Source organism: Homo sapiens, chromosome 9, assembly GCF_000001405.40.
Source record: "Homo sapiens chromosome 9, GRCh38.p14 Primary Assembly".
Classification (NCBI taxonomy): Eukaryota; Metazoa; Chordata; class Mammalia; order Primates; family Hominidae; genus Homo; species Homo sapiens.
In genome coordinates this window covers 99,408,649-99,435,942 of record NC_000009.12, presented here as the reverse complement: position 1 = coordinate 99,435,942, position 27,294 = coordinate 99,408,649, and the positions used below count along the sequence as shown (strand labels likewise).

Sequence of the window (27,294 nt, the reverse complement as noted above, 5' to 3'; positions counted from 1 at the left end):
GTGGAGCCCTTCACAGTTGTACATTATATAATTGAATCCCATTAATAAAATAACAATGTTGTGCTGGTCATTTCTGGAGAAAATATACCAAGTTCACAAAAATTTCCCCCCCTTGGTGTACATCATACTTTTTTAGAAACACTTTTTATAGAAATATTTTTTAGACTAACATTTTATAATTACTTAATCTTTTTAATTCAGGACCCACTAACTTAATTCAAGTAGGATTGGGCTAAATTTATTTTTTCCTCATCCTTGAATTGTGGCAAATAATGATAAAAAGTGTTCTATTGGTTAAAAAAATTGCTGCCATTTTCTTATAAAGTTAAATGTATGCCTAACATGTGACCTAACAATTCCACTCAGGTTTTTCCCCAGGGGAATGGAAATATGTGGAAATACACCCAAAGAAGTGTATGCAAACATTCATAGCAGCTTTATTTTTAATAGCTAAAAACTAGAAGTAATCCAAACATCCATCAGTAGGTGAGTGGATAAACAAACTGTGATATAGCCAAACAGTGGAATATTAGTCAGCAGCAAAACGAAATGAACTGCTGATACATGGGAATGAATCTCAAAAACATAATGCTGAGTGAAAGATGGCCAGACACAACAGATTATGTGCTGTATGGTTCTACTTCTGTGATGTTCTAGAACATGCAAAATTAATCTATAGTGACAGAAAGCAGATCGTTGGTTGCCTGGGGATGGAGGTGGGGTTATTGACTGGGCAAGACATTTTGAATATTTTGAGGTGATGGAAATGTTTTGTTTGCGGATTGAGGTGATAATTATACGGGTATATACATTTGTCAAAACTCACAATCTGTACACTTAAAATTTAGGCATTTTATACTATGTAACTTATAACAACAAATTAGATTTTTTAAAAAGTGACACCCTGTTACATATATCTTTATTAATAACAAAATTTCTCTATCTCTTGTATCTCTCTGTGCTTCTCCTGTTTCTGATGTTAATTTGTTTTTTAGCAATACTATTTCCAACATCCAAATGGTATTGGAAATCCCAGCTTGAGTTTGACAGATAACTTATAAAACAAGAAAAAAAAAGATTCAATCTTTCCACTCCAGGTCTAACAGGTCCCCAGATTCCATCTATTCCAACTCCTAAATGTTTATTTTGTCTTTATACTGCTGCCTCGCTCCACCTGCACTGCTTTAATTCAGCGTTCAATTATCTGTTCACTGGTCTTCCCTCCTCTGATTTGGTTTGAACAAGAGGATCCTTCATACTATCTTCCAGGTGCCAGAAAACAAAATGGTACCCAGAAGCCTTATGGCTGAGGGAAGGGCAGGAATGTTGGAGAAGAAGCAAGGCAGAGGGTGGAATTGAATAGGGGCTTTGGGAAAGCTTGATGAAGGTCTCCTATGCTTGCTCTGGGATTCTTAGGCCCAAGATATAGTTGTGAGTAAACTGGATTGTTCTCAATGCCATTGGTATTTCTCTATGTTCATTTCTTCAGTGTGTTAGTAAAGCCTTTTAGAAAGTATTGGCCCATTTCAAGTATGTTCAAGAGAAACAGGGCCATATGTGCTGGTGGCCACAGAAATCAAAAGCAGAGAACTTCAAGGAGGACAGGAGACTTGGAAGGGTAGAACTAAAGCTCAAAGATGCAGCCCAGTCAGCTCCTAGCATCCAACCACCCTTCACAATTTTCTCCCAAGTCACTGCTTTTCTGTCTGACCCAAAGAGGATTCTACCCCGTGTGTATTAAGGGAGTGATTTTCTTTGTGTTTGTATCCTCACATTTTTCTCTGCCAGAGAGTTGGTGATAGTGAATGGTCACCTGGGAGGATAAAGGTGACAATTTTAGGCCAGCTTAGTTCTTTGTAAAAGGTCTCTAAGAGCCTTTCACCTCTCTGAAAGTGCCTTTTATCAAGACTCCAGATAGGATAGCCTCCAGTGAGAGATTTCCCATCGATTACACACTTGTCAGGGGAAGCACAGGGCCAGCTTAGAGATTTCCATCTTAAACTTTCAAAGGAAGCTGCTTGCTAAAGGTTCTGGAGCTGGAGGAGCCACTAAAAATCAAACAAGTAAGCAGAAACCAAGTTTGACTTTTGGCCCTAGGGGTTGGAGAGATGGAGATGAAAGCTGACAGGCTCCTGCGTGACAGGGCCTCTGTGGAGCCCAAGAGGGTGACTCACAAATCTGAGTGGCACTTCCTCTCCGTGAGTCATCCTGTGAGCAAAGCCTGAACACCCCTGCCCAGCCCCTCAGTGTGAACTCTCCTGGCCTGCTGACCCGGATATTTGCAGGCAGGCCCTGCTACCCTCAACACAGGACACATCCTTGAGGGGTACAGCCTCACTCTCAAAGACAACCAAGGCCTCAGCCCAGCAGATACTTGCTATGGCTAAAAAAGCAGGGGACATTTTATCATAGGGGGGCCATGGGGATGAGCTCTGTTCCTAGGTTATCTTGTAGTCCTGGATCTGCTGTTGACAAACTGAGTGAACTTGAACTTCAGTACGTCACTTAGTCTTAGTGTTTGGGGGCCAGAGTTTCCCAAACTATAAAATAAAAAGAGTACATTGTTTTGTGGAAGAGAGGATATGTACACAGCCATGATGTTAGACATTGACAATAATTTGTGGGGAGTGCAGATCAAGCGTAGGTTAATAACACAGAGAGGAAGTGATATTTGAACCGGGTCTTGAAAGAACAAAGAATTTTCCATTCAGGCAAGAGAGAAGAATATTTCATGCTAGGCAATATATTCCTAAAGCACTGAAGGCAGAAGAGGCAGGGGAGAGATAACGAAGCCAGTATGTGGGAGGAGCAGTGGATTCAAGAGCATGAGAGAGGGAGAGAAGCATAGAGGTGTTTTAGATGCAGGATCAGTAGGTGATGTCCACTGTAGGAACGCACTTCCCGCATTCTACAGAGGATGGCCTGCTGGCTCCTGGGTTGGGTGACTGGGCACCTGATGATTTAATTAAATAAAACACCCAAAGCAGAAGGGGGGTGGGAAATGATGAATCGAATTTCTGACCTATTGAAATGGAAGCATCCATGTTCAACCAACTGACGTGTCCATGAGCTGAATAAACCAGTCTCATGCCCAGAGGAGTGCTTGAAGCTAGAAACACAGATCTGGTGTCATCAGCTGACATTGCTCTAGATCGTTTCGAAGTTCTTTTTTAATTCAAAGTCAAAGGATTTGTGATTCTAAATTTTGTAAAAGGAAAAATTCAAAAATAAATCTTTTTTTCTTCTCATTCTAATGAGACACTTAGTATGTTATCCCCTGCTTCTCTTTCAGTAATGTTTATGTGTCACCATAGGGTGTTTGCAGGATTTATGCTACCAAATTTTGTTTTATTGAGTTTCTGTTGGCTATTCATAGTGGTATTTTAGTCAACATAGAATGGCCTCAGCCCAGAGAATTAAACAGTAGACTGACATCAATGAATCCTTAAAAAAGGCTTTGGAAAAGACTCTTAGCTATTCTCATCAATCATCAGTGGCTCCCCATTTTGTGTAGAATAAAGTTCAAGCTCTTCAGTTTGACATTTGTTTCTGATCATTAGCCATGCCATGAGCAGTCCTATGGAGAGGCCCGTGTGGTGAGAAACTGAGGCCTCCAGCCATCAGGCGCATGAGTGAGCATGGATACAGGTTCTGCAGCCTAGTCAAGCCTTAGATGATGCAGCCCTGGCCGACACCTTATCTGCAGCCCCGTGAGAGGCCCAGAGCCAGAAGCACCTAACTAAGCCACTCTTGGATTCCTGACCCTCAGAAACTGTATGATAAATGTTTGTTGTTTTAAATTTCTAAAAGTTTTTGGGTCATTTGTTAAGCTAAGATCAGGAGAAGGAGAAAATTGCTTTTCTGATAATACTGTATGTGGAAAATGGGCCAGGAAAGGCTGAACATGATTTCAGTATTTTGGAGCTCTCTGCAAGGTGCTGAAAGGAGGGGACGGGGGTCTGGTTCCGACTCTTCTGCCTGTTCACTGAGTGGCCTTGAAAACATCATATCTCCTGTTATTTTCTGTTTGGGCCTCCGTTTCCTTATTTTTAAATGGCGATGGGAGTGTTAGTGCCAGTCTCCAGTCTAAAACCTTTACTTATGTGCAATAGTTAATAGTTGGCAAATGTTTTTATATACTGTGGTCAGGATTTGGAGACAACAAAAAATAGTTCTCCAAATTTCAAACTAAGGAAAATAAAATTGGCTTTTGGGAGTCAAACTTCAAAGTTAGTACATATGGCTTAGGACAGAGACACACCAAATTACCTTAAAGCAGTGTTTATGGGGGCTTCTGACAGGCTACAAGCTAAACCAAAAATGTAATTACTTTCTTCTTACCAATGAATGATTGGAAATACCATGAATGCTCATTTTTTAATGCACAAAAAGCTCTTTGGAGACTTTCTGGAACAAAGTAAATACTTAAGAGATGTTATTTATTACTGTATTTATTTATAGCTAAGGGAAACAGAAAATGAATAAGTTGGTCATTGAAAGATATTATGATCTGATATTTATAAAAAAAGGAGCCAGGGTTTATTAAGAACTCTAACTTGGTGTTCTAATAAGAAGTCTAGCTGCTACACACAGTACTGAGCAGCATGGCAAATGTCCAACACCGCACAGAAAACAAAGAGTTGGAATTCCCAAGATGCTTAGGCAGGATGTGTTGTTATCAGTGCATCATCATAGCTGTCATGAATTGGATCTGACTTCCAATTGCTGTTATTCTTTAATTAATTAAAGCACTTTGTAAAATTATATACAGGTCTTATCCTTATAGATACCCTTTGGGGGTAATTGCTGAATTGTTATGATTTGAATACTATGTTGTTCCTCTCTCATTTTGATCACAATATTCTTTATCTGCTGGGAAGTGGAAAGGGGTAGAGTGGGTGATTTTGTGTGATTTTTACTCTATTCAATGAGCCATGGTAAAACTTTTGAAAATTATTGACTTAACGGCCCTGTGGGGCCAGCCTTGACCATTGTGTGATTAAATATATGAACCTAGCTGAAGCAAAAAATGTGCCAATCAGCAGCCTGCCAGCAATGGGAGCCAGTAGGAGTAGGAGAATCATAGGGACTTACACTATTATTGGCCATCTATTGCTCTCCATGGACAAGAGAGCCTTGGTCAACAGCCCTAATGGGAAGGGTATACTGAATGTGAAGATGCACACAAGGGATTGTGTCCAACGGACTTAGAACATCCCTGTTTTCTCGGCAAATTCATCCTTATTGTTGAAGAATGTATCCTCTCAACACTTGACCACTAAACATTAGATCCTTCTGACTAACCCCCTGCTGTGGTCTGAATGTTTGTATTCTCTCAAAATTTATATACTAAAACTCAGTTCTCAGTGTGATAGTATTAAGGGGTGGAGCCTTTGGGAGATGATTAAGTCATATGAGTGGAGAGCCCATGAATGGCGTTTGTGCCCTTACAAGAGGCTAAAGAGACCAGAGTTCTCCACTTCCGCCTTGTGAGGACACAATGAAAACACAGCCAACTAGGAACCACAAAGCAGGTCCTCACCACACTGAATCTGCCAGTGCCCTGTGACTCAATCTTAGACTTCCCAGCCTCCAGAACTGTGAGAAATAAACTTCTGTTTTTTAGAAACCAGCCAGTTTATGGCATTTTGTTATAGCAGCCTCAGTGGACTGACATTCCTCCTTGGCCTGATTCCACATTCATCACATGATATTCTAATTATGACATGACTTTTCATATATGTCCATATGATGTTGGTCACAGAGATGTGAAGTATTTTAATCAATCTGTCCAGATAATGAACATGTTGACTTTCTAGGTTTATATCCTTGTCCAAAGTCAACATTGCCATTCTCCTTGATATAACCCTACCCTTCTAATTTGTCTCCCAGCTTCCACTCTTGCTCCCTCCATTTCAGTGTTGTATTGGCCTCTAAAAAGATTATTTCTCTATGTGTGTTTATTAAAACACTATCTCATTTGACCATCACAGCAAATGCAAAAGGTCTTATTATCTCCATAAATATATGAAGAAGTTGAGAATTATAAATAGTAAATGACTAAAACAATTAATAAGTTGTAGAATTGGGACTCACACACAAGTGAAGTAGGTTGTTTTTGTTACTGGTTTGGTGCATTTAATGATCACCTATTACATAGGTTTGTTTGTCCTAAACAAATAGTAACAGCATGTTCATGTACTTAATCTTTATTCTATTGTTGCTACAGATGAGAAAATTGAGGCCCAGAGATGTCAGGTGAATTGTTCAAATTTACCCTGCAAGTAACAGAGTTCAAATTTATACCCTAGATTTTTTTACCAGTACATTTTTGGAAGATATTATTATTCATATATATATATTTTATTTATTTATTTATTTATTTATTTTTTGAGACAGAGTCTTGCTCTGTCACCCAGGCTGGAGTGCAGTGGCATGATCTCGGCTCACTGCAACCGCTGCCTCCCAGGGTCCAGCAATTCTCCTGCCTCAGCCTCCCAAGTAGCTGGGATTATAGGCATGTGCCACTACACCTGGCTTTTTTTTTTTTTTTTTTTTTTTTTTTGTAGTAGAGACGGGGGTTTCACCATGCTGGCCAGGCTGGTCTCAAACTCCTGACCTTGTGATCTTCCTGCCTTGGCCTCCCAAAGTGCTGGGACTACAGGCATGAGCCACCACCCCCGGCCAATATATTTTTATTTTTAAGGCCTACTATAAGCATTCCATTTCTATTTCTAAACATGTTGACAATTTTTAAAATTTTAATTTTATATTTAACTTTTCAAAATCCCAATTTGGTTTCCATTAAAATTTGTGTATGTGTGTGCGTGTGTGTGTGGATGTTTTCTATTGTTGACATAATAAATTACCACAAACTTAGTGACTTAAAAAATGCGAATTTAGTATTTTTGAATTCTTTAGGTCAGAATTCCAACACCAATCTCATGAGGCTGAAATGAAGGTGTTGTCAGGGCTACATTTCTTTCTGGAGACAGTAGTGGGAAATCCATTTATTTGCCTTTTTCAGATCTAGCCATCAATTGCTTCCCTTGGCTTGTGGCCCCTTCTATCTTCAAAGCCAGCAGCAGAAAACAGAGTCCATCTCACACAACCATCTCTTTGGCTTTCTGCAGACAAGAACGGTTCTCTGCTTTTCAGGATGCATGTAATTAGATTAGGCCCACAAGAATAATCCAGTATAATCCCCCCATTTCAAGGTCCTTCACCTTAGTCATACCTGTCAAGGTCTCTTTTGCCATGTAAGGTACCATATTTCCCACGTTCTAAAAGTTAGGAAGTGGACATCTTTCAGGGCCATTATTCTGCCTATATACATATGCAGAATTATGTATATTTATATATATAAAAAAATAGATTATATAGTACATAATCTAGATAATCTGATAATCTAGATAATCTGATTATATAGTACATAATCTAGTAACGTTGTTATGTTACTAGATTATGTACTATATAATCTACATGTTTTGTATATATATAATTCATGTGTTATCTATTTATAGTGTTATAAAAATACTATATAATTTATGCATTTTGAAATTTCTGTTTATGTGTATATACACTGTGTGCTTAGATATATATATGATATGTGAAATACCTAGAAGTCTTTTTCACAGTTGTTTTTTCTGATTCTTATTTCTCCACCCTTTGCTCCACACTCAGTGACATAGGTAGAATTGGCTATTTTCATCTTTTCACTTTTTTACTTGAGTCTACTTTAATTGAAGTGATTATAGCAGTCAGAGATGCTAAGTTATAAGCATTGGCAAACATCCACCTTCCACGCCTTAAAACTACAAAAGCCCTCATTTTACTCATACTCCATGTCAGTCATAGGGTGACTGCAGGGCTCTGCTCTGTGCTGTTCTTACACAGGGACCACAGGGCAGGGAAAATCCAGCTCCATCATCCACAAACACCAAGATAGAAGGAAAGTGGTGGATTGTGTGCTCATTCTTGAAGCCCCACTTCCAGGCCCATTTCATTAACCAAAGCACATCACTTGGCATCACCTAAGTTCAACAGCACATTGAATATTTATGGACAGTCCTAGTGACTCCCTTTAAAATGCACAAACATCCTTTAAAAAGTCCATGTCCTTTAACGTAGAACTACAAGATTTATTATGGAAAAAAAAAAAAAGTCTTTACCCCAGAGGACTACTGCTCCACCTCAAGTAGCAAGCACTTTAAATTGTATAGTGATTTCTTCTGAATTTACCCTCCAATTTTGAAATAAAAGGTATAGTTCTTTTCTTCCATTTTAGATACCATCTATTAGATTCCTGTTAAGGAAGTTTTGACTTACTTCTCTTCCTCACTGCCTCTCCATTCACACCCTTCTTCTCCCATCTTCCTAACATAATCACATTACAATATTTGGTTAGATCATTATTTAGTGTTTACAATGTCATGATCCTATAAACTACACTTACAGCTGAGCTATAGAGTGTACTATGGTTTCATTTCCTTTCTTGTACATTTTTTCTTAGAGTTGGTAAGTGCCTCTTTTTAGAAATTTGCATAGTTCTCTGTGTATTTATCATTAATTTTTTCCCAAGTTCTCTGACCAAGCTGTAAAACTCCTATTAAAACATTCAGACACACTGAATCCTTCATTAGTTCCATTCTGTTCTTCAAAACATCTCTCCTCAGCCCTCAGTCCCCCTGCTCCAAGTAGGATGGGTCATTCTTTAGGCTTATTTACATCTAGAATTCCTGTGCCTTGAAAACTGTGAGTTACAAATCAAGAGAGAAGAAAAGACTAGATGACTTCTGAAGTCCCTGGTCCCTGCTCTGAAATTTGAGGACAAAGACGAAATGTTATGAGAAGCCTACATAGGTTCCAAGAACTGACTCTGGACCAGTGTCCTATGGCCAACACTGCCCATCACTGCAGCCTGGTCACTGGATTCTGGGTCCTCCTCTGTACAGCTCAGGTTTACATTCCTTACCTTGACTTTTGTCTCTGCTGCTTTTTACATCTTGATCATCCTCCGATCTCCATTGTCCTGAAGCCAATAATAAGAGACAAGGGGAAAGGGCCAGCCTGTTTTGTGGGGGTTCCTAAACTCCTGAACTCCAGCCCTAGAAGCATCCTCATGGTTTTGTTTCCCCTGTGTCCCATCAGAAAGGAAATTATTAGACTACTCAATAAGTAGAAAATCCAAGTCATAGAGAAAAGCAGTGTGAAAGATAATATCTTGTTATGCTCTTATCTAGGAACTGATTGAATTCCTGAAAGCTCTTGAGGTGCCCCTGCTGGCAGCTGTGGCTGAGGGTTCAAAGCAGAGAAACAGAGCATGTGGGGAAATTTTTTTGCTGCACGATTTTCTTCTCACACCTGGAGATGGAGTGAAATTTGCAAGGGGAGTGGAATGGGAATATACATATTGCAATGATGATGGTAATGCTTTTATACCTGGTGCACAGATGAGATTTGGTTTGGTTGTAGAAGGATAAAGCAGAGAGGACAATCAAAATGATTTTGAGAAACTGATGAAATCCAGACTGCTGCAGTTCTGTTTGTGTGAAGAGTGTGTTAAATAAACCTAAGTGATTTTATGCCTGCTTAGTCTAACACCAAGGAAATGACATTATTTTTCTCCTCTCCTTTTCTGTTATGTGGTAACATAACTGAAGATTGGACTAGAAAAGACATTCCTGGGGCTTTCTCTGAAAATAATGACCCCATCCAGTGACAGGACAAGGATTGATGCTAGGAATTAACCACTTGTAAATGGAAATTAATACTCTAATTAGCAAGATAGGAAAATCCATCTTATTGTAAATAGTGCTACTTATAGATTGTGATATTCCTCCAGGGATTACCAGGTTATTTAAAAGGAATAAATCAAGAACTACATTCAGACCCATGAAGAAAGAGCAGCAGAAATATTCATAGCAGGCATATGTTAAAAACTGGCAATATTTTCACCAAGGTTGTAAAACAATGGATAAAGTCAATTTTTAAAAAGATACACATTTGTGATTTTTAACACTTCTTAGATGGAAAGTGTTTTCAGATTGGCTCTTGAATATTAACATTGTCACCTAGACAGCTTTCTAGCAAACAGACTCAAGACATTGGATAAAAAGATTAGTCTCACAAAAAAATGAGCAGATGAATACTGCATTTCAAATAAAAGCGAGGGTCTCCAAGGATTAAATATAAACATTCGATAAACCTGCAGCTCTGATGAAAATCTATTTAACAGCCTGGCATTTCTATAGCTGTTTAAAATGTGGAACCTGCTTTCACATCCATTAACTCATTTGTTTCTCAAAAGAGAACAGATGAGGAAATGGAGTCCAGAAAGATTAAAACTCACACAGCCTCCCAGGTATTAAGGGGCTGTATTTAATGTTAGCCTCCCTTGACCTGGAGTTAAAATGCAGCCATACTTCTCTAGACAGCCCCATGAATGAACATAGAGAGGACATTCCAGCCACAGTAGGGTTGTGACTTCTTTTTGAGTTCAAGAATGAATCCATGCAAGCCAATTAGAAAAATGGCTCCCATTCCCTTCATGTGTATGAATGTAAGGATAGCAGAATTTCATCCTATTATTCCCATTATAACACTCAAGTGTGACAGATTGATTAGGGCTCTGGTAGTGACAGTGCACATCACAATCTGCCTTGAATCAAGACTCTTCATGTAAACATCTTCCCTTCTGGACCACAGGAGCCAAAGACCAGCAACAAGGTCTTTAATATTTTGTCTCCATCCTGTGCCCTTCCCAGTGCCTAGCACAAAGGAGCTGCTTCATTAGCATGTGTGGTGCTTGAAATAAGCCACAGAACAGACACTTTGCAGTGCGCCAATTGAGTTAAATTGTGGACCTGCAGACTGGAAGTAGTCACAGCCCCTTAGAGGGTTAGCGATGTCAGATTGTTCCCTTTTCAATCATATAAGCTGGTTCTTGTTTTTTTGCACAGTTCCATCCCGTTTGGGGGGATGAAGTCAAACATGAGTGACCCCCTACTTTCACACAGAGTGAAAATGTGTGTGAAAATCAAGTCATAAACTCATACTCTAAAAGGAGTTGTTTCCGGGTTTCTGTTTTCCAACACTTTAAATCCCCTATCATACCAGGCCCTCTGGCTGGGCTAGGGGAATTCTGCAAACCCCAATAAGCGATTATCCATGTGATGTTATGGTCCCTACCCCAGCTATGGACCACACCCTAGCTCACACCCCTACCCAGGCTTTCATGGAGGGCCTGAGAGGTGGCTGGAAAATCAGGGATTGGGGTACAGTGAGAGGTGGCTGGGGAATCGGGGATTGGGGTACGGTGAGAGGTGGCTGGAAATTGGGGATGGGGTACAGTGAGAGGTGGCTGGGGAATCGGGGATGGGGGCACAGTGAGAGGTGGCTGGGGAATCGGGGATTGGGGCGCAATGAGAGGTGGCTGGGAAATCGGGGATTGGAGCGCAGTGAGAGGTGGCTGGAGAATCAGGGATTGGAGCGCAGTGAGAGGTGGCTGGAGAATCAGGGATTGGGGCGCAGTGAGAGGTGGCTGGAGAATGGGGGATTGGGGCGCAGTGAGAGGTGGCTGGAGAATCGGGGATTGGGGCGCAGTGAGAGGTGGCTGGAGAATGGGGGATTGGGGCGCAGTGAGAGGTGGCTGGAGAATGGGGGATTGGGGCACAGTGAGAGGTGGCTGGAAATCGGGGATGGGGGCACAGTGAGAGGTGGCTGGAGAATTGGGGATTGGGCACAGTGAGAAGTCGCTGGAGACTCGGGGATAGGGACACAGTGACAGGTGGCTGGAGTATTGGAGATTGGGGTGCAGTGAGAGGTGGCTGGGAAATCGGGGATGGGGGCAAAGTGAGAGGTGGCTGGGGAATTGGGGATTGGGACACAGTGAGAGGTGGCTGGAGAATCGGGGATGGGGGCACAGAGAGAGGCGGCTGGGGAATCGGGGATGGGGGCACAGTGAGAGGTGGCTGGAAATTGGGGATGGGGGCGCAGCGAGAGGTGGCTGGGGAATCGGGGATGGGGGCGCAGTGAGAGGTGGCTGGAAAATCAGGGATGGGGGCACAGTGAGAGGTGGCTGGAAATCGGGGATTGGTGCACAAGCTACAGGAGCATCCACGGAGAAAACCTGTGCCAAGGGAAAAAACAACATAAAATAATTTCTATTTTATATAAAATTGGGGGAAAGGGTTAAAATAAATTTATATGCAAGCATAGACAAAATATAGGAAATAAATAGACCAAAATTTTAATAATTTATTTTTCTAGGTGGTATTTTATATTTTTTCTACATTTGTATTGCTTTCATGTCCCCATTTTTGAAATATCTATAAGTTCTTTTTAATTTTACTTTTATCTACCTGTAAGACATTAAAAATATTACTGATAAGGCTAAAATCTGACCACCATCCTCAAATCCAGTTATTCTCCCGACTACCCAGAATTAACCACATGCCACGTTGGCATCGTCTCTCTAGACATTTCGGACATACAGTGGTTCCCCCTTATCCCCACTTATTCTTGGGGTATATGTTCCAAGACCCCCAGTGGATCCCTGAAACAGCGGATAGTACCAAACTCTAAATACACTGTGCTTTTTCCTGTATAATAATGGGTGGATAGTGGATGCAAGGTGGGTAGGCGGGACAAAGGGATGATTTGTGCCCTGGGTGGGATGGAACCAGAGGGCACACAATTAAAACTTGTGAATTGTTTATTTCTGGAATTTTTAATTTAAGATTTGCAGACCTTGGTTGACCATGGTAACTGAAACCTCAGAAAGCAAAACTGCAGCTAAGGAGGGACTACTGTACTCACATATATGTATATATGCCCATGGAACTACACAGTATTGTTTTGTTTCTACATAAATGACATCATACCATTCATATTCTGCAATTTGCTATCCACATCAGTTACATATAGATATGTCTCAGTAAAAAAAGAAAAAAAGCGTAATATTTCACCGAACTGAGAGACTTGCAGTCCGGGTTGAGCACTAGAATCACGTGAGGAGCTTTAAAATAAAACCAATGCTCAGGCCCTACCCCTAGTGACCCTGAAACAATTTGATTGGTTTCCCCTCCCTAACTCTAGGTGATTTTTTTTTTTCAGTTGTTACAATTTAATCACATCCTGCAGTCTTGTACATGAGTGTGTGGTACTCTAGGAAGACATCAAAAAACAAAAAGCAACTTGTATTACAATTCCCATCTACACCCCCACCAGAAATATGTGAAAAATACCCATTTGCCTTTATACTTCTCCACTTTATATATTATTACTAATTTTTAAATTTTTAAAATTTTTGCTGCCTTAATGGATTAAAACAAACAGTATGTAGTTTGTTTTCATTTTATTGATTACGTAGAAGATCTATATCTTTTCATGTCTTCAGCAAGGGATTAAGAGCGCAAACCACCCAGTTTTTTATCCCAGTTCTGCCACTTCCGAGCCATGTGATTTCAGATCAGTTGCTTAATCACCGTGCCTCAGTTTCCTCATGTGTAAAATGGGAGACTAATAGTGTCTACTTCATAGGCTTGTTGTGATATTAAATGACTTAATACGGATAAGATTTTAGAACAATGTCTAGTATGTAGTAAGCATGCAATAAATGTTAGTTATTCTCTTTGGCTATTTGGACTTTTTTTTTTTTTTAGCATTACTGATTAATCAGAAAACAAAATTAATTTCTTAAATATTGGCCCATCCAGAGAAAGCTACCCAGGCAGGCCTCGAATCAATCATGGCTAGAAACCTTAGATACCTTGTTCCTGTTCTCGGTAGTTGTCTTAGCCTGTTTGGACTGCTATAATAAAAACACCGTAGTTGTTTACAGGCTTATAAACAACAGAAATTTATTTCCCATAGTTCTGGAGGCCGGGAAGTCCAAGATCAAGGCACTGGAAGAGTTAGTGTCTGGTGAGGGCCCTCTATTCATCTCCTTGCAGTGTCCTCACGTGATCAAATGGGCAAGGGAGTTCTCTAGGAGCTGACTTTTATAAGGATATTAATTACATTCACGAGGGCTCCACCCTCATGACCTAATCGCTTCCTGAAGGTCCCACTTCCTAATACCATCACCTTGGACATTAGGACTTTACATATAATTTTCAGAAGGACACAAACATTCAGTCTGTAGCAGTAGTAAAATGGGAATGACAGCTCTGTACCTGTTTGAAGACAAAGGAGGTGAAACATGTCTTTTGGGGGTCCCTAACAGGTCAGAGGTGATGTGTTAACTTCATTGTTTCATATCGGGAAGCAAAGTGTTTTCATTGCTATCACAAGGTGAGACTGCAATGCTTCATCCAGCAGCCTAGAATGTTAAATCTGGAAGGACTTTGGAGATCATCCACCAGACACTATTTTACAGACGAGAACATTGAGTCCCAAAGCATGAAAGTAATTTGGAAAACTTCCCACCGTCACCCAGTGACAGAACCAGACTAGGATCTAGTGCCCCTGACGTTCAGGAGACTTTTTTGCTATACTTCTCTATTGTTCATTTAGACCTAGTGCTTGGTGAGAGTCAGGGATGGCAAGAAAACAGATCCAAATATTAATATGTATGTGAGAAATCATGAAAAAAAGTTTTAATTTTACTAAATTAAGGCAAAAAGTAAGAAAAATTAGGATTTGCTATTTTAGACATGATAAGAATACAAAAATATTTTTAAACTGTAATAGGACCGGCTTCTTAGCCTTAGGACAATTTCCTAAGTATTATATAACCTAGAAAATGTTTTCGTGCCATAGGATAATTTGTTTAGGTAAAAGGCCGAACAAATCCAACCAATTCCATTAAAGTATTTGAATAAAAACATATACAAGAGACAAATATGGAAAGCATGATTTAAATAACCTGCAAATATTTGGGATCCCAATGTGATTTTACAAAAAACTCATTCTCACCCAAAGATGACAGAATTTGAAAAATTTTTAAGTCTTTAAAAAAATTTTTTTTAAAGTCTAAATTTCTGGAAAAGCAATTAATTTTATAAAAAGTTCAGTCACCCTTAACGAAGAATTATATATCCATCTCTGGTTTTGAAGAAAAGCACAGATAAACAAGAAATATGAGGCATATCATTTTGTTCAACATGATTAATTGTGTAAAATACTGGTAAGCTTTTATCCATAATGCTTTTCTGGTAGCACGAAAGTAGGTTAAAAAAATTGCTGATTATCTTTTCTCTTCTAAAGTAAAGCCTTCAATTAGTGTACGCAAAAGTCATCAAGGGGATTCAGAAGGCTCAGTGTGAAATGTTAACGAGAGAAGCTGACCAGTCTGGATGCTAATAGAAGGCAATGAGGTCTCGGGGGTGTCACTGTGAAGCACACCATCCTGAATCCCATATACAGGGGTGGGGAAACAGGGTGGGTTCAAACCCTCCGGATTTCATTCCTGGGGCTTGAGATTTCACATCCTCTGTTAGTGACAGCTTACCTGTGCTGGGTTGATTCTCTACTTTTCACTTGCAGGAGAAATCAAGGGGAAATGTCAAGTGACTTATACAAAATAAAGGAGAAATGCAGTGACCTAAAAAACAGGTTATTATATGAAAATAATACCTAAGATAGACAAAGAGATAGCACTTTACAGCCATTCCCTCATTTCCTTCTGTAGCTGGTATCTAATGTTATGTAACAACTTGCTCCAGAACTTAGTATTTAAAACAACAACAAACATTGATTACCCCAGTGTTTATAGATCAAGTACTCAGGCGAAGCCTAGCTGGGTGGCTTTGGTTCAAGGTCTCTCATGGGGTCACTGTCAAGATATCGGCGGGAGCTGCTGTCATCTGAAGGCTTGTCTTGGGCTGGAAGATCTGCTTTCAAAGTGGCTGACCCACATGGATGACAAATCAGTGCTGGTTGGTGGCAAGAAGCCTCAGTTCCATGATACATGGACTTTTCTTTGGGACTGAGTGTCACAACATGGCACTGGCTTCCCGCAAAGCAAGTGATTCAAGAAGGAACAAGGTGAAATGCAATGTATTTTATAAGTGACAGTGCCCTGTTCTGAAAAATGAATGAATTGGACTAGATTAGGGAGGGCAAACAGGTTTCCATATATCCAGTCTGTCATGAAAAAGCTGGAGGTATCCTCAGAAGAATTCTAAGGTTAAATCTCAGATAGAAGCTTACCCTAATAAGTTAGTGATGTTGGTGACACTAGGAGCAGAGAGTGGTGACATCCATGGCATTTATTTGCCATCCTTGGACTAGATAATCAATTAGCTTCACTGAAAGATGGAGGCTGACATTCTATAACCCACCCAAGCCTTCTCATCAACAGGAGAATGTTCTGAAACCAAATTTGGATTATCCAGTTTTCTATACCCAGCTCAGCCATAATCAGTGTTGCCTTTACAATTTTTGTAAATAGCCAGCTGGTTACTTAATTAAATTCACCCAGTTGTTTTCAAAACATCCAGGAGTATGACCAAATTCAATCTTTTCTTCAAACTAGTTTTGCATAGCTCTGTGAGGTGCTACATGACGATATATGTTATTTTAAACTCTCCTTATTTTTAATGATATAAACAATGAAAGCCTAAGTAAGAGAAAGGAGCTAACACATTTATTCCCATTCTGCCATCTGTTTAAAGCTGCTGATGTAATTCCAGTTTGAAATTGCATTAGCGTTTGCCTCCTGGACTTCTTCCTTATTTCCTTTTGTATTTCAGGCCTTCTGTACTTAAGAGAAAGCACTGCCTCTAGGATGTTGGTCAATTAATGCGAAGCTACAGTATAGCTCTGGCCATTTTCAAACTGGTCTCCGATTTGGATTTCCTTCATGATGAGCTAGAATGACTGTAACTGGAGTGTTATTTGCTTAAATATATTTGGTATTTAAGGTTTGATTAGTGATGTTTTCAGCAATATCATCAACAATCAGCAGATTTGTTTACACTGCGGAGGATGGCAGAGATTAAGGGTTGTGGTCGTGCATACTCAATCATTGCATACTGGCTTTTTTGACTTTTATCTCTGGATTATGCCTGAGAATTCAATTTTAATTTTTTTTTTAAATGCAGCTGCTTTACAGTGATTCGGAGTTTTGTTAAATTGTGTGATATTTTGTGTGTGTTGGGGGGTGTCTTCTATGAGGCTAGATTTCATTTAAAATTAAATTTTGGTTGGATGGCCAGGGTATGGTTTCTTTGCTTTGATATAAACTGGGGGTCCTTCTCTTCACTTCCAAATATCCCCAGTGGGGACCTGGTGGCAGGGGGACTGCGAACAAGGTTTTTGAAGACACAAGTGGGGCTGCGGCAGAAAAACCAGAAACGTGGGAAGCTTCCTACAGTTTTCTGAGCCTCAGTTTCCCCACCTGAGATAATACTAACCAATTCAGAAGTCTTTCTCTTCTAAACAAATTCTACTGTTACCTGAAACAAACATCTTTACCTTTCCTTGCTCTCACTGTAGTTAGTGGCACTGCTTTGGGGAAGTGACATTGAATTTCATGTCAGAAAATCTCATTAGGATAACAGAAGGTTGGACTTGGAAGGGACCTTAAGGATTCTCCCCCTAAAACTCTTTTTATTTATTTTTGAGACAAGGTCCTTCTCTGTTGCCCAGGCTGGAATGCAGTGGAGCAATTATGGTTCTCTGCAGCCTCGAACTCCTGGGCTCCAGCAATCCTCCTGCCTCAGCCTCCTGAGTAGCTGGGACGACAGGTGTACACCACCATGCCCAGTTAATTTTTAAAAATTTATTTTGTAGAGACTGGGTCTTGCTATGTTACCCAGGCTGGTCTCAAACTCCTGAGCTCGAGTGATGCTCCTGCCTCAGCTTCCCAAAGTTCTGGGATTACAGGCATGAGCCACTGTGCCTGGCCTCCCCAAAATATTTTTTAGACTGTCAGTTATACTCACCCTCAGAATGTAAGGGCATGGCCAGTAGAGAGAAATGTGTCTTACCAGGTACCAAGAACACAGCTCGACTTCAGCAAGCTGATCTGGAATATCCCTTGCTACTCAGAACCGTGGCTCTGAACTGTGGCTCAGAACCACTTGTGGATTTCTTTCCTTAATATCAATGTCTGGCTCTTACATCCAACTTGCTCAATCAGAATTTTGGGCCATGGGGACCAATTACTTGTATATTACAAAGCTCCATGGCTGATTTGGAGTCTAGTGAATCAAAATCTTTTGGTCAAGATGGAGAACCTCAGTTCCGGAAAAGCAGATCACTGGAGGTAGAATGGAGTCAGCAGACAGTGCTGATTAGAAAATCCAGAGACCAGGGTTTGGGCCATGATCTAAGTACTGAAGTCCTGAAGGAGCAGAGAAAGAGGGAGAACCCATACAGCTCGGGAAAAGCAGGGGAGCCCTCACAAGGCAGGTGACATCTGTGTTAGATCTTAAAGATAAGTAGAAATTTTCCTTTTGGAGAAGAAATGATGGCTGAGAGGAGGACAACATTGAAATTCATCACAGAGCATGGCACAAAGCAGGAGGTATGAAAGGCAAATGTTTTGAGCAACTACTCATCTCTTCCAGAGACCATATGAGATGCTGGACATGGAGAAGTTTGACTGGAACATGGAGATGTGGAATATCAGGAGTTTGACCTGTAAAAGTAATCTGCATCAACTCATTAAAAGTCATGACTCCAAAGTAATAATTTTGGAATTGATCCTGTAGTCTGTTGTTTGCAACTGCAAAGTCACAGAACACTGGTATGTTACAATTAGCCATGAAAAGCTACAAGTAACGTATTAGTATTGGCCATGAAGGAGGCAGCAGAGGAGATCCCAACTCTGCTACTCACCAATCATGAGCCACCTACTGTCCCCTGGGAAAATTATTAAAGTGCCTAGTGCCTCATTTTCTTCATCTGTATTGTAGAGATAATTATGGCACCTACCTGACAAGGTTGTTATGAGGCCTAAGCGTTAGTATCTGTGAAGCTGTTGACATAGTACCTGGCAATATAGATATCAGTAGTAGTATTACTATTGCTATTATTGTTGTTGTTGTTATTTCTACAAAAGTTTGAAGAGTCATATACAGACACATTCAAGGAGGTTCAAGTTGACTTATAATTCACACTCTCTTGCATTATTAAGTGGAACAAAACAAAGTAGTGAGTGAACCTTTGTCTAGTAAGTTGCACATAGCCCTAGTAACATCTAAGGCAGTAAGTGGAGCCTGCAAATATTCTCTTGTGTGAACCACTGCCACAGGCAATGCCAAACATCTTGAGTAGGGTTGCCAGGTAAAATACAGGATACCCAGTTACATTTGAATTTCAGATAAAACAATAAATAACTTCTTAGTATAATAAGCATGTCCCATTATTGCAGGGGACAGATACTAAAAAACTTGTAAGTATGGTGGTAGGGATCCATGTGATTCTTTGGTCACACTTCAGGTGCCAGAGTCCCTTCCAGAGAGGATGGATCTCCCTAGCCTTTCTGGAGGAGGATTCCCACAAGTAGGGGTAGCAGCTTCATCCCTGAGAAATCTTCAGGGAAGCTGGTGTCGGGCCCTGAAGGCTGAAAAGCATTTTGACAGGTGGAAAAAAGCATACAGTGTTGCATTCTAGGAAATAGCATGCTCCAACGACAGAGGCACGGGAGTATGCCTGGGAACCTTTGAGGAGACAAGGGTGGGTGGGGCTGTGTGTGTGTGTGTGTGTGTGTGTGTGTGTGTGTATGTGTATGTGTGTCTGCAGGGGTTGGATGGGGCTCAAGAGGACACATGGTCAGGGCAGTGTTTGGGGCCAGGAGTTTAAGAGTTTGAGAAATTATATTGAATGAGTTGTAACCTTGTAACTGAATAAGTTACTACCCACTTCCTGAATTAGTCATTTTGCTTCCTTTCTTAATGGGTTTCAGACATGTTTCCCTAAGCACTGCCATTATTTTTCCTTATGATGATTAGTTTGTTTGTTTGTTTGTTTATTCATTTTACAATTCTTCTATGTTCAGTTAGTGAAAGGTTGTAAGATGGATAGGAACAGCAAGACTCAATGATTATTTAACAAGTAATAAACTGACAGTACAGTCAAACAAGCTTGTCACTGGAAGTCTTACTCTGCTATGTGAAGTTAACATGGCAGAGCTAATTTATTTAATTAGAAGCTGTTTTTACTGGAAGACTTCCAGGAGGACAGTGGGTGTATTCTATGGCGTTTCGGGGCTCCTTCGATTTCAGAGGTCTCACAGATAGAAATTAAATTGAAGAGGACAATTAAAATAAAACCCTGTGAACTGTTACCTCCTTCAGTAGTGTCTGTTGACTGCATCCCCCGCCTTCAGCTGTTTGGGGATGGAGACCTTTATCCTCAGAACTAGGCAGATATAAATTACATTAAATTGTACCAAGCTCTTTTGGTGTTTTTCCCGGATTTAGAAGACACACATCTTGCCATTTCTTGATTAATTACTGCACGAAAGTTGCAGATAAGCGAGCTTGGCTCAACATAACGAAGGATTCGCATGTGACCTGGAAACGCTGTCAGGCTGGGTAAGGAGGAGCTGGGTTCTAGTCTCAGGTGCAGCAATAATTCTTTGTGTGACCCTGAGCAGGTTGTTTCTCTTCCCTGGGCTTCAACGCTTCATTTGTAGAACGAGAAGGGAAACTTTATGGTTGCTTTTAGCTGCTCCATTCTGAAATTCTGGGTCACAAGAAGGCTGTCAAAGGAAGGGACCCAGCCAAGGCAGAACATCAAGGAAAGACCTTTAGAATGGCAGAGGCTGAGTGGAGCCTTAAAGGAAGAACAAGCATCAATGACAGCAGCGAATCCTATAAATGTCTCTAAACAAATAATCATTATTATAGATGTATGCGAAGACTTACCTAGAAGAAAGAGAGAATGCTAGAAGGTTCTTTGAATATTATTATTTTGAGAATCTTAAATGAGTTAATGTGTATGAAGTGCTTAGCATAGATCTTCTTTTTTCTGGGAACAGTGAAGTAGGTTATTTAGATCAATCCTCCTGCTGGAAGCAATGGAAAATATACATTTTTAAAAAAAAATCTTCTTAAAACCATTGAAGAGATGACAAAAGAAATATTAGAAATACCAAATTAAAAATAAAGGGAAAACGAAAACTTAGCAAAGTAAGCAAACACAGAAAGTTTATTGCTCTGAGCACACATGTGCCGATTTCTCAAAATCAGAAATATTTTTTCTGGCAGCCTTGAGAAATGAGGGGAACAGAAATAAAATCAAAGCCTAGGCCCACAGCAGAGAGGCAACTCCCAGCAAACCCTTCCCACAACAAGCTAGAATCCCAGAGACTTCACTCCCAGGATGAGAGAGAACCAGAAATGGCATAGCCCTCATAGAATCACAGCCTGGTTCCAGTCTTCTGAGTTTTTTTCTAGTCCCTTACTACTCAAAGTGTGGCCCACAGATCCCCAACAGCAGCATCAGCAGAGAGCTCATCTGCAACATAAATTCTTGGGCACCACTCCAGACCAATTGTATCAGAATCTGTACTTTAACAAGATCCCTGGTAGAAGCAAACCCAAATCCTTTGGAGAGGAACTCACTTTCATTACGGGCCTCAAATTACTGCTGGTAGTAATCTCTCTAATGCAATTTCTGGTCAATACAAAAGATAACAAAGCACAGAAGAAAATTAGGCAAGAGAGTCAGCAAAAACAACAGACAACAGAAACAGATGTACAGGGTCTCTGGAGACTGGAATTATCAAATGCAGTTTCTCAATTAATAAATTATATTCACAATAGCTATGTGTGAAAGGGAACATAAAAAGTAAAAAAGTTCTCTTCAGTGAATAGCAATCTATTAAAAAATTATAATGGATTTGAAAAAGAAATTCTAGACATGAAGTGTTTAGCACATTGGGGTAGTGAGTTCCCTGTCACTGAAGGTACATGAACAAGGCCAGACAACTGAGTAACAGAATAGTTGAAGAGGGGAGTCTAGCCCTGGCTAGCGGTTAGCCTGGTCATCTTCAAGTCTCCTTATGGTACAAATGCTGTAAGATATTTTGCCTAAGAACAAGACATCCTCCAATTGACCAGGGTCCTCAGATCATGTCTAGCTTGACTTCTCCAGGTATGGGCTTGAGAATCCTGCCCAAGACTGCTGCATTTCTCACTGCCCCAGGGTAGCTAACAGTTACCATGGCTGTGTAAACTTGCAGAGAGATAGGGATCATCCATAGAAGCTGCAGATGAAACACAGGGAGCCAATCTGGGGGACATATCACATACTATGGATCCAGGAGAAGTTTTAATAACATGTAGTTTAAATTGATCATTTGCAGACATCTGCATGAGTTTGCACAAACTCTCTTCACTTTAAAACATTCTCAAAACTTTATAATATTCCAAAAGAAAAGAAAAAACCATCAACTTTTGACCTGCTGTCTTTCTTGGTTCTGTTTATGTTCTCAACTTGTTCTACTCTATCAAACTCTCCAAATGGGGGGGCCTATGGCCATATTTTCCATCCATGCTCACTCTTCAGAATCCCCTAACCCAAATTTCTTTGCATACAGTCAGTTTATTCAAGTTACACTTGTTCTTAGGTTCATCCTTTCCAACATTTCTGATCATCTTCTCCTTCCTGGGGCTCTCTTTGGAAATGACAGTTACCATTCAAGGGGCATCCTTAAACCACTTTCTATTACATTATTTAATCCTTACATGAATCATGAGTAATCATTTCTGTAAGGGCTATTACATGGTAATATTCATTCCTTATAGAAAAAATAGAAAATACCTGTAAACAAAAGCAAATTGAAATCTCTTCTAATTTTACCAACAGGAGATAACTTTTTGCTAATGTTTGTTAATATTTGGGATGTTTTCTCCAGGCATTTTTTCTGTGAAATTTTGCAAAACATGAGATTTTATATGCTGAGCATACATTTTAGTCTGTCTTTATTTATTAACAATAGATTATGAACCCTTTTCCATGTTAATAAATATACAGCTACAACTTAATTCTTAATGTTTGCACACTATGTTTCTATATGGATATATGACAACTTCCTTACAAATCTATTGTTAAACATTTGAATTAATTCCAATCTTCACTATTAAAATAGCATCTTATAGCTATATCTTTGTGTACATCCTTAATTATTTCTCCAAAATAAATTCCTAAATGTGGAAATGAATTCATACTTCTGCTTTTGACAAATTTCCCCCCCAGAAAGTTTGTACTAATTTAGACTCCCAACAGCCATGTGTGAACAGGGCTATTTCCCTGCACTCTAACCAACATTTGGGTATTAATGTTTTTATTGCCCTGGCTAATTTCATAAGTAGCATTTTATTATTGTTTTAATTAGCTTTTCTACAGTTATAAGTAAAATAGAATATGCTCTTCCATGTTTATTTACCAATTGATTTTTTTCTTTTGTGATTTAAATTGTTAATATTCTTCATATAGTAACACTGGTACATAGAAATAAATATTAACCAGTATTATTATCATCATCATGATTATCATTATAGGTAGCAGCCCTTGTACATTGTAAACAGAATCCCAAATTTTTCATTTCCTTTTAATTTAATCCAATTATATTTTATCAATTTAGGCCATACAGAGGTTTACATTTTCGATATGAATACATTCATAAACTTTGATTTTTACGGTTTCTGCCTTTGATGACATGCTTGGGAAGACCTTTCCCATAATAACATTATATAAATGTTGTTTAAATTTTCCCCTTAGAGTATTTAAATGGTTTCATATTGTATATTTAAATTATTAATACATCTGGAATTTAGTTTCATATAAGGGTGGGATAGAGACTAGTGGGCCTTCACAAAAAGCCAAATGGTTTTTCTACTCAGCATTTTAAGTATTTTTCAAACAGAACAGAACAGGAACATTTTTGAATCAAGACCTGTGAATGGCTACATCTCTGAGTGGAAAGGAATTAATTACCGCATGTCAGAAATCAGCATGGGGCCAGAGCTGTTAAACATACTAATGGCTTGGATGGAAGGAGAGCTGCAAAGCAGGCTGCTAGCTTTTCTCTGTCCAATGGTGATTTAAGAGGGTTACTTACAGCCCAAGATGACAGTGAGGAAAGCCAGACGGCCTTCAGTGTCAGGGAAGGGAGCAGCTTGGTGTCAGCAGACAAAATTGGATCTGGTCATGATCCGTCTGCAAGGCTCTTCTGGGCCCTCGTTGTGCAGATGAGAAAGGGGTAAGAATGGCCAAGACCTTCCCTTCTTGGCCAGGCCCAGAAGGACCACACCCAGAGGCTCCTCTAGGTAATAGCTCAGCAGCCAACTGTGCTGGGGGTTCCCCTCCAACATGGCCGTCTTCTTTGGTTTTGCTCCGTGGATTTCTAGCTTATGCTTCTACTCTCCTACATCCCCCACTCTACTGTTTTCTTCAGAGCACACATTTGATATTAAAACCATTCTTCCCCAGACTTTGTTTCCATGCTGCACGGCTGTCCCACCATCGCATGTCTTTTCCACCTTTAAACTGTTTTTCATAAGGCTATTTTTTCTGAACATAGCTCTTGGTTATTCTATCAGTGAGAAACATAATGCTATTACTTGACAATTATAACTTGCTTTTAATAACTTGCTTCACTTGTCTTTTAATACAAACCTCTGAGTAATCCTGACAGGTAGTTGGGGAAGATCGTGTGGACAAAGCCAAGATCTGAGAAGTTGTTTGTCTGAGGGTCACAGTGACTCAGGAGCAGATCTGAAACTTGACACCAGAGATCTGGCCCAGCTTCAGAGCTCATCCTACCAGCCTCTGTGATCCCTTTCCTACTTAACTTGGTGGTTCTTGGAAGTCCTGTGGTTCAACATAACTCTAATAATTTTCTCTGTCAAAGTTCCATGCTAGGTTGTAAGGGTACCAAGATAACAGAGTCATACTCTGTCTGAGCAGGTTCACACTAGGAGTGACTTTTGCGTATTTTGTCTATACAAAATCAGAGGTGGGCAGAAGGAACTGCTAAACCGTTGTCAGGCTGTTGGTTGGGGAAGGCATCACGGAATACATTTTGGCATGTGGGTTGGGGCCTGTCACACTAGATGACTTTGGCATCTTTAAAGGACATCTGTCATACCATTCTGCCCATTCCCCATCCACACTACAATTTTCCTTCCCCTACTCTCAGTTTGTGCAATATCACCTCCTGGCCACAGGTATAGATTCAGGTGTGGGACCCATGTTATTTCAATGGCATGAAACTCTGGAGTTTTGATAATTCCATTGGAAAAAAAAAAAGATGCTGACTTCCTGCAGGGGTATCTGAAGCTGGTGACCATCTTGTCTTTGAAAAGAGAGAACTCACCTGAGAACAGAGCCCACACAGGAGCAAGTAGAACTGAGAGAGGCAAAGGATAAAACTGAGCCTGTGGGACATTGTCTGGGCTCTGAACACAGCCACCCCGAAAGCAAATACTTTGAATTTTACAGTCTTGTGAGCCAATAGATTCCTTTTCTTATGCAGGTACATCAGTCTGAGTTGGGTTTCTGTCACCTGCAACTTAAAGATCTTTTGACTAACGTAGAGTTCCATTTCAAATCCAAGGCTCTGTGAGTCTTTGGCAGACTGGAGGGCAGACATGGTGTCCAGCTGCCTCCGCACCTAGCTCCTCTGCCTTTCTGGTCCAGCTGCCCAGCATTCATGAAATGATTGGGCCAAAACTGTGCTGCTTTCAAAGATGTAGATTTTTATTCCTTGGTGGTATGAGGTTTCAGACCAGCAGGACTTTAACTCTCCTTGGTCGAGGCAACTATTGAAGCATTTCTGCAGAGTGGTCCAGCTGCTGATATACCTAGGTGAGGGCCACAGATGGTGGCTGCATTAGGCCATTCTTGCATTGCTATAAAAGAATACCAGAGACTGGGTAATTTATAAGGAAAAGTGGTTTATTGGGGCTCATAGCTATGCGGGCTGTACAGGCGGCATGGCACCCGCATCTGCTTCTGGTGAGGGCTTCCGGAAATTCCCAATCATGGCAGAAGGTGAAGGAGGAGAAGGCATATCAGATGGCGAGAGTGGGAGCAAGAGACAGAGGGAAAGGTGCCACAGTCTTTTAAACAACTAGATCTTGCATGAATTCAGAGCGAGAACTCACTCATTATTGTGAGGACAGCACCAAGACATTCATGAAGGATCCACTGTCTTCACGAAAATACCTCTCACCAGGCCCCACCTCCAACAATGGGGATTACATTTCAACAAGAGATTTGGAGGGAACAAACATCCAACTCTATCAATGGCTATCCCATGGGGGTTCTATTGTTTGTCTTGGTAGAACAGCATCCCCTTTCTGTAAAACGATCCCTTCCCTCACTCTAGCCTTGTAGTTTGAGTGGGGCTGTCACAATGTTAGTCACATGTGACCAAACTGATTGGCCTGGAGTAGGTACCTGGCCAAGAATGAGATGAAGAAGAAGTCTCAGATCTTCAACAGTGGAGATCTCTGGGGTCTTTGGTGAGCAGGTACCTTGTACTGTGGAAGAAACAGTGTGAGGAACGAATGAAGTGGCTACAAAGAGAGAACATGGGATGAGGGCTGTGGATATGGGGCAGGCAAAATCAAGTGGTTTTCTACTACTGGAGTAGAAAACTCCTTGAGATTTGTCCTTGAGATTCCACTCTATCTTGGTGAAATTGGTCTCCTAATAAATCCCTCTGCAAATAACCAAGCTAATGTAGCTGAATTAAATACCTGGCATTTGCCATCCAAAGGGTGTTGCACAACTCCTGAATTCTCCAAAGCCATCTTGGCTCCATTTAGCTAACAAGCCACCCACCCATTACATCAGTGGCTCACAGCCCTGCCTCACATTTGAATTACGTAGGGTGCTTTTAAAATACTGTGGTACCCAGACCCAGCTCCAAGGACTTTTACTTAACTGGTCTAGGGGAGGGCCCAAGCATAGTGCGTGTTTTCTTTGTTTTGTTTAGTTTTTGTTTTTTGTTTTTTATTTTTTATTTTTTTGAGACAGAGTTTCACTCTGTCGCCTAGGCTTGAGTGCAGTGGTGTGGTCTCAGCTCACTGCAACCTCCACCTCCCAGGTTCAAGCAATTCTCTGCCTCAGCCTCCAGAGTAGCTGAAATTACAGGTGCCCACCACCATGCCTGGCTAATTTTTGTATTTTTAGTAGACACATGATTTCACCATCTTGGCCAGGCTGGTCTTGAACTCCTGACCTCGTGATCCACCCGTCTCCGCATCCCAAAGTGCTGGGATTACAGGTGTGAGCCACCATGCCCGGCCTGCATAGGGCATGTTTTTAAGCTACTCTGTTAATTCAAGATTTGTAAACCACTGCAGAGATGATCCACTCCCCTGA

The 27,294-nt window shown here is 40.5% G+C and overlaps 1 long non-coding RNA gene across 2 annotated transcripts in view, besides 4 other annotated features; it reads left to right on the top strand.

Annotated features, from left to right (window-relative positions):
* Positions 1-27,294, top strand: part of LOC107987011 (uncharacterized) — a 71,633-nt gene that overhangs the window by 24,330 nt on the left and 20,009 nt on the right. The window lies entirely within an intron of this gene.
* Positions 1,597-2,796: an enhancer, noted in NCBI's record as "P300/CBP strongly-dependent group 1 enhancer chr9:102195429-102196628 (GRCh37/hg19 assembly coordinates)". NCBI's record gives its function as "activates an origin of replication core promoter dependent on BRD2, BRD4, P300/CBP, MED14 and CDK7 cofactors, with strong dependence on P300/CBP, by STARR-seq in HCT116 cells {active_cell/tissue: HCT116}" and the evidence as "EXISTENCE:reporter gene assay evidence [ECO:0000049][PMID:35650434]".
* Positions 2,079-2,158: an enhancer, noted in NCBI's record as "active region_28711". NCBI's record gives its function as "activates an Ori minimal core promoter by ATAC-STARR-seq in GM12878 lymphoblastoid cells {active_cell/tissue: GM12878}" and the evidence as "EXISTENCE:reporter gene assay evidence [ECO:0000049][PMID:35858748]".
* Positions 2,169-2,288: an enhancer, noted in NCBI's record as "active region_28710". NCBI's record gives its function as "activates an Ori minimal core promoter by ATAC-STARR-seq in GM12878 lymphoblastoid cells {active_cell/tissue: GM12878}" and the evidence as "EXISTENCE:reporter gene assay evidence [ECO:0000049][PMID:35858748]".
* Positions 15,684-16,883: an enhancer, noted in NCBI's record as "BRD4-independent group 4 enhancer chr9:102181342-102182541 (GRCh37/hg19 assembly coordinates)". NCBI's record gives its function as "activates an origin of replication core promoter dependent on BRD2, P300/CBP, MED14 and CDK7 cofactors, and independent of BRD4, by STARR-seq in HCT116 cells {active_cell/tissue: HCT116}" and the evidence as "EXISTENCE:reporter gene assay evidence [ECO:0000049][PMID:35650434]".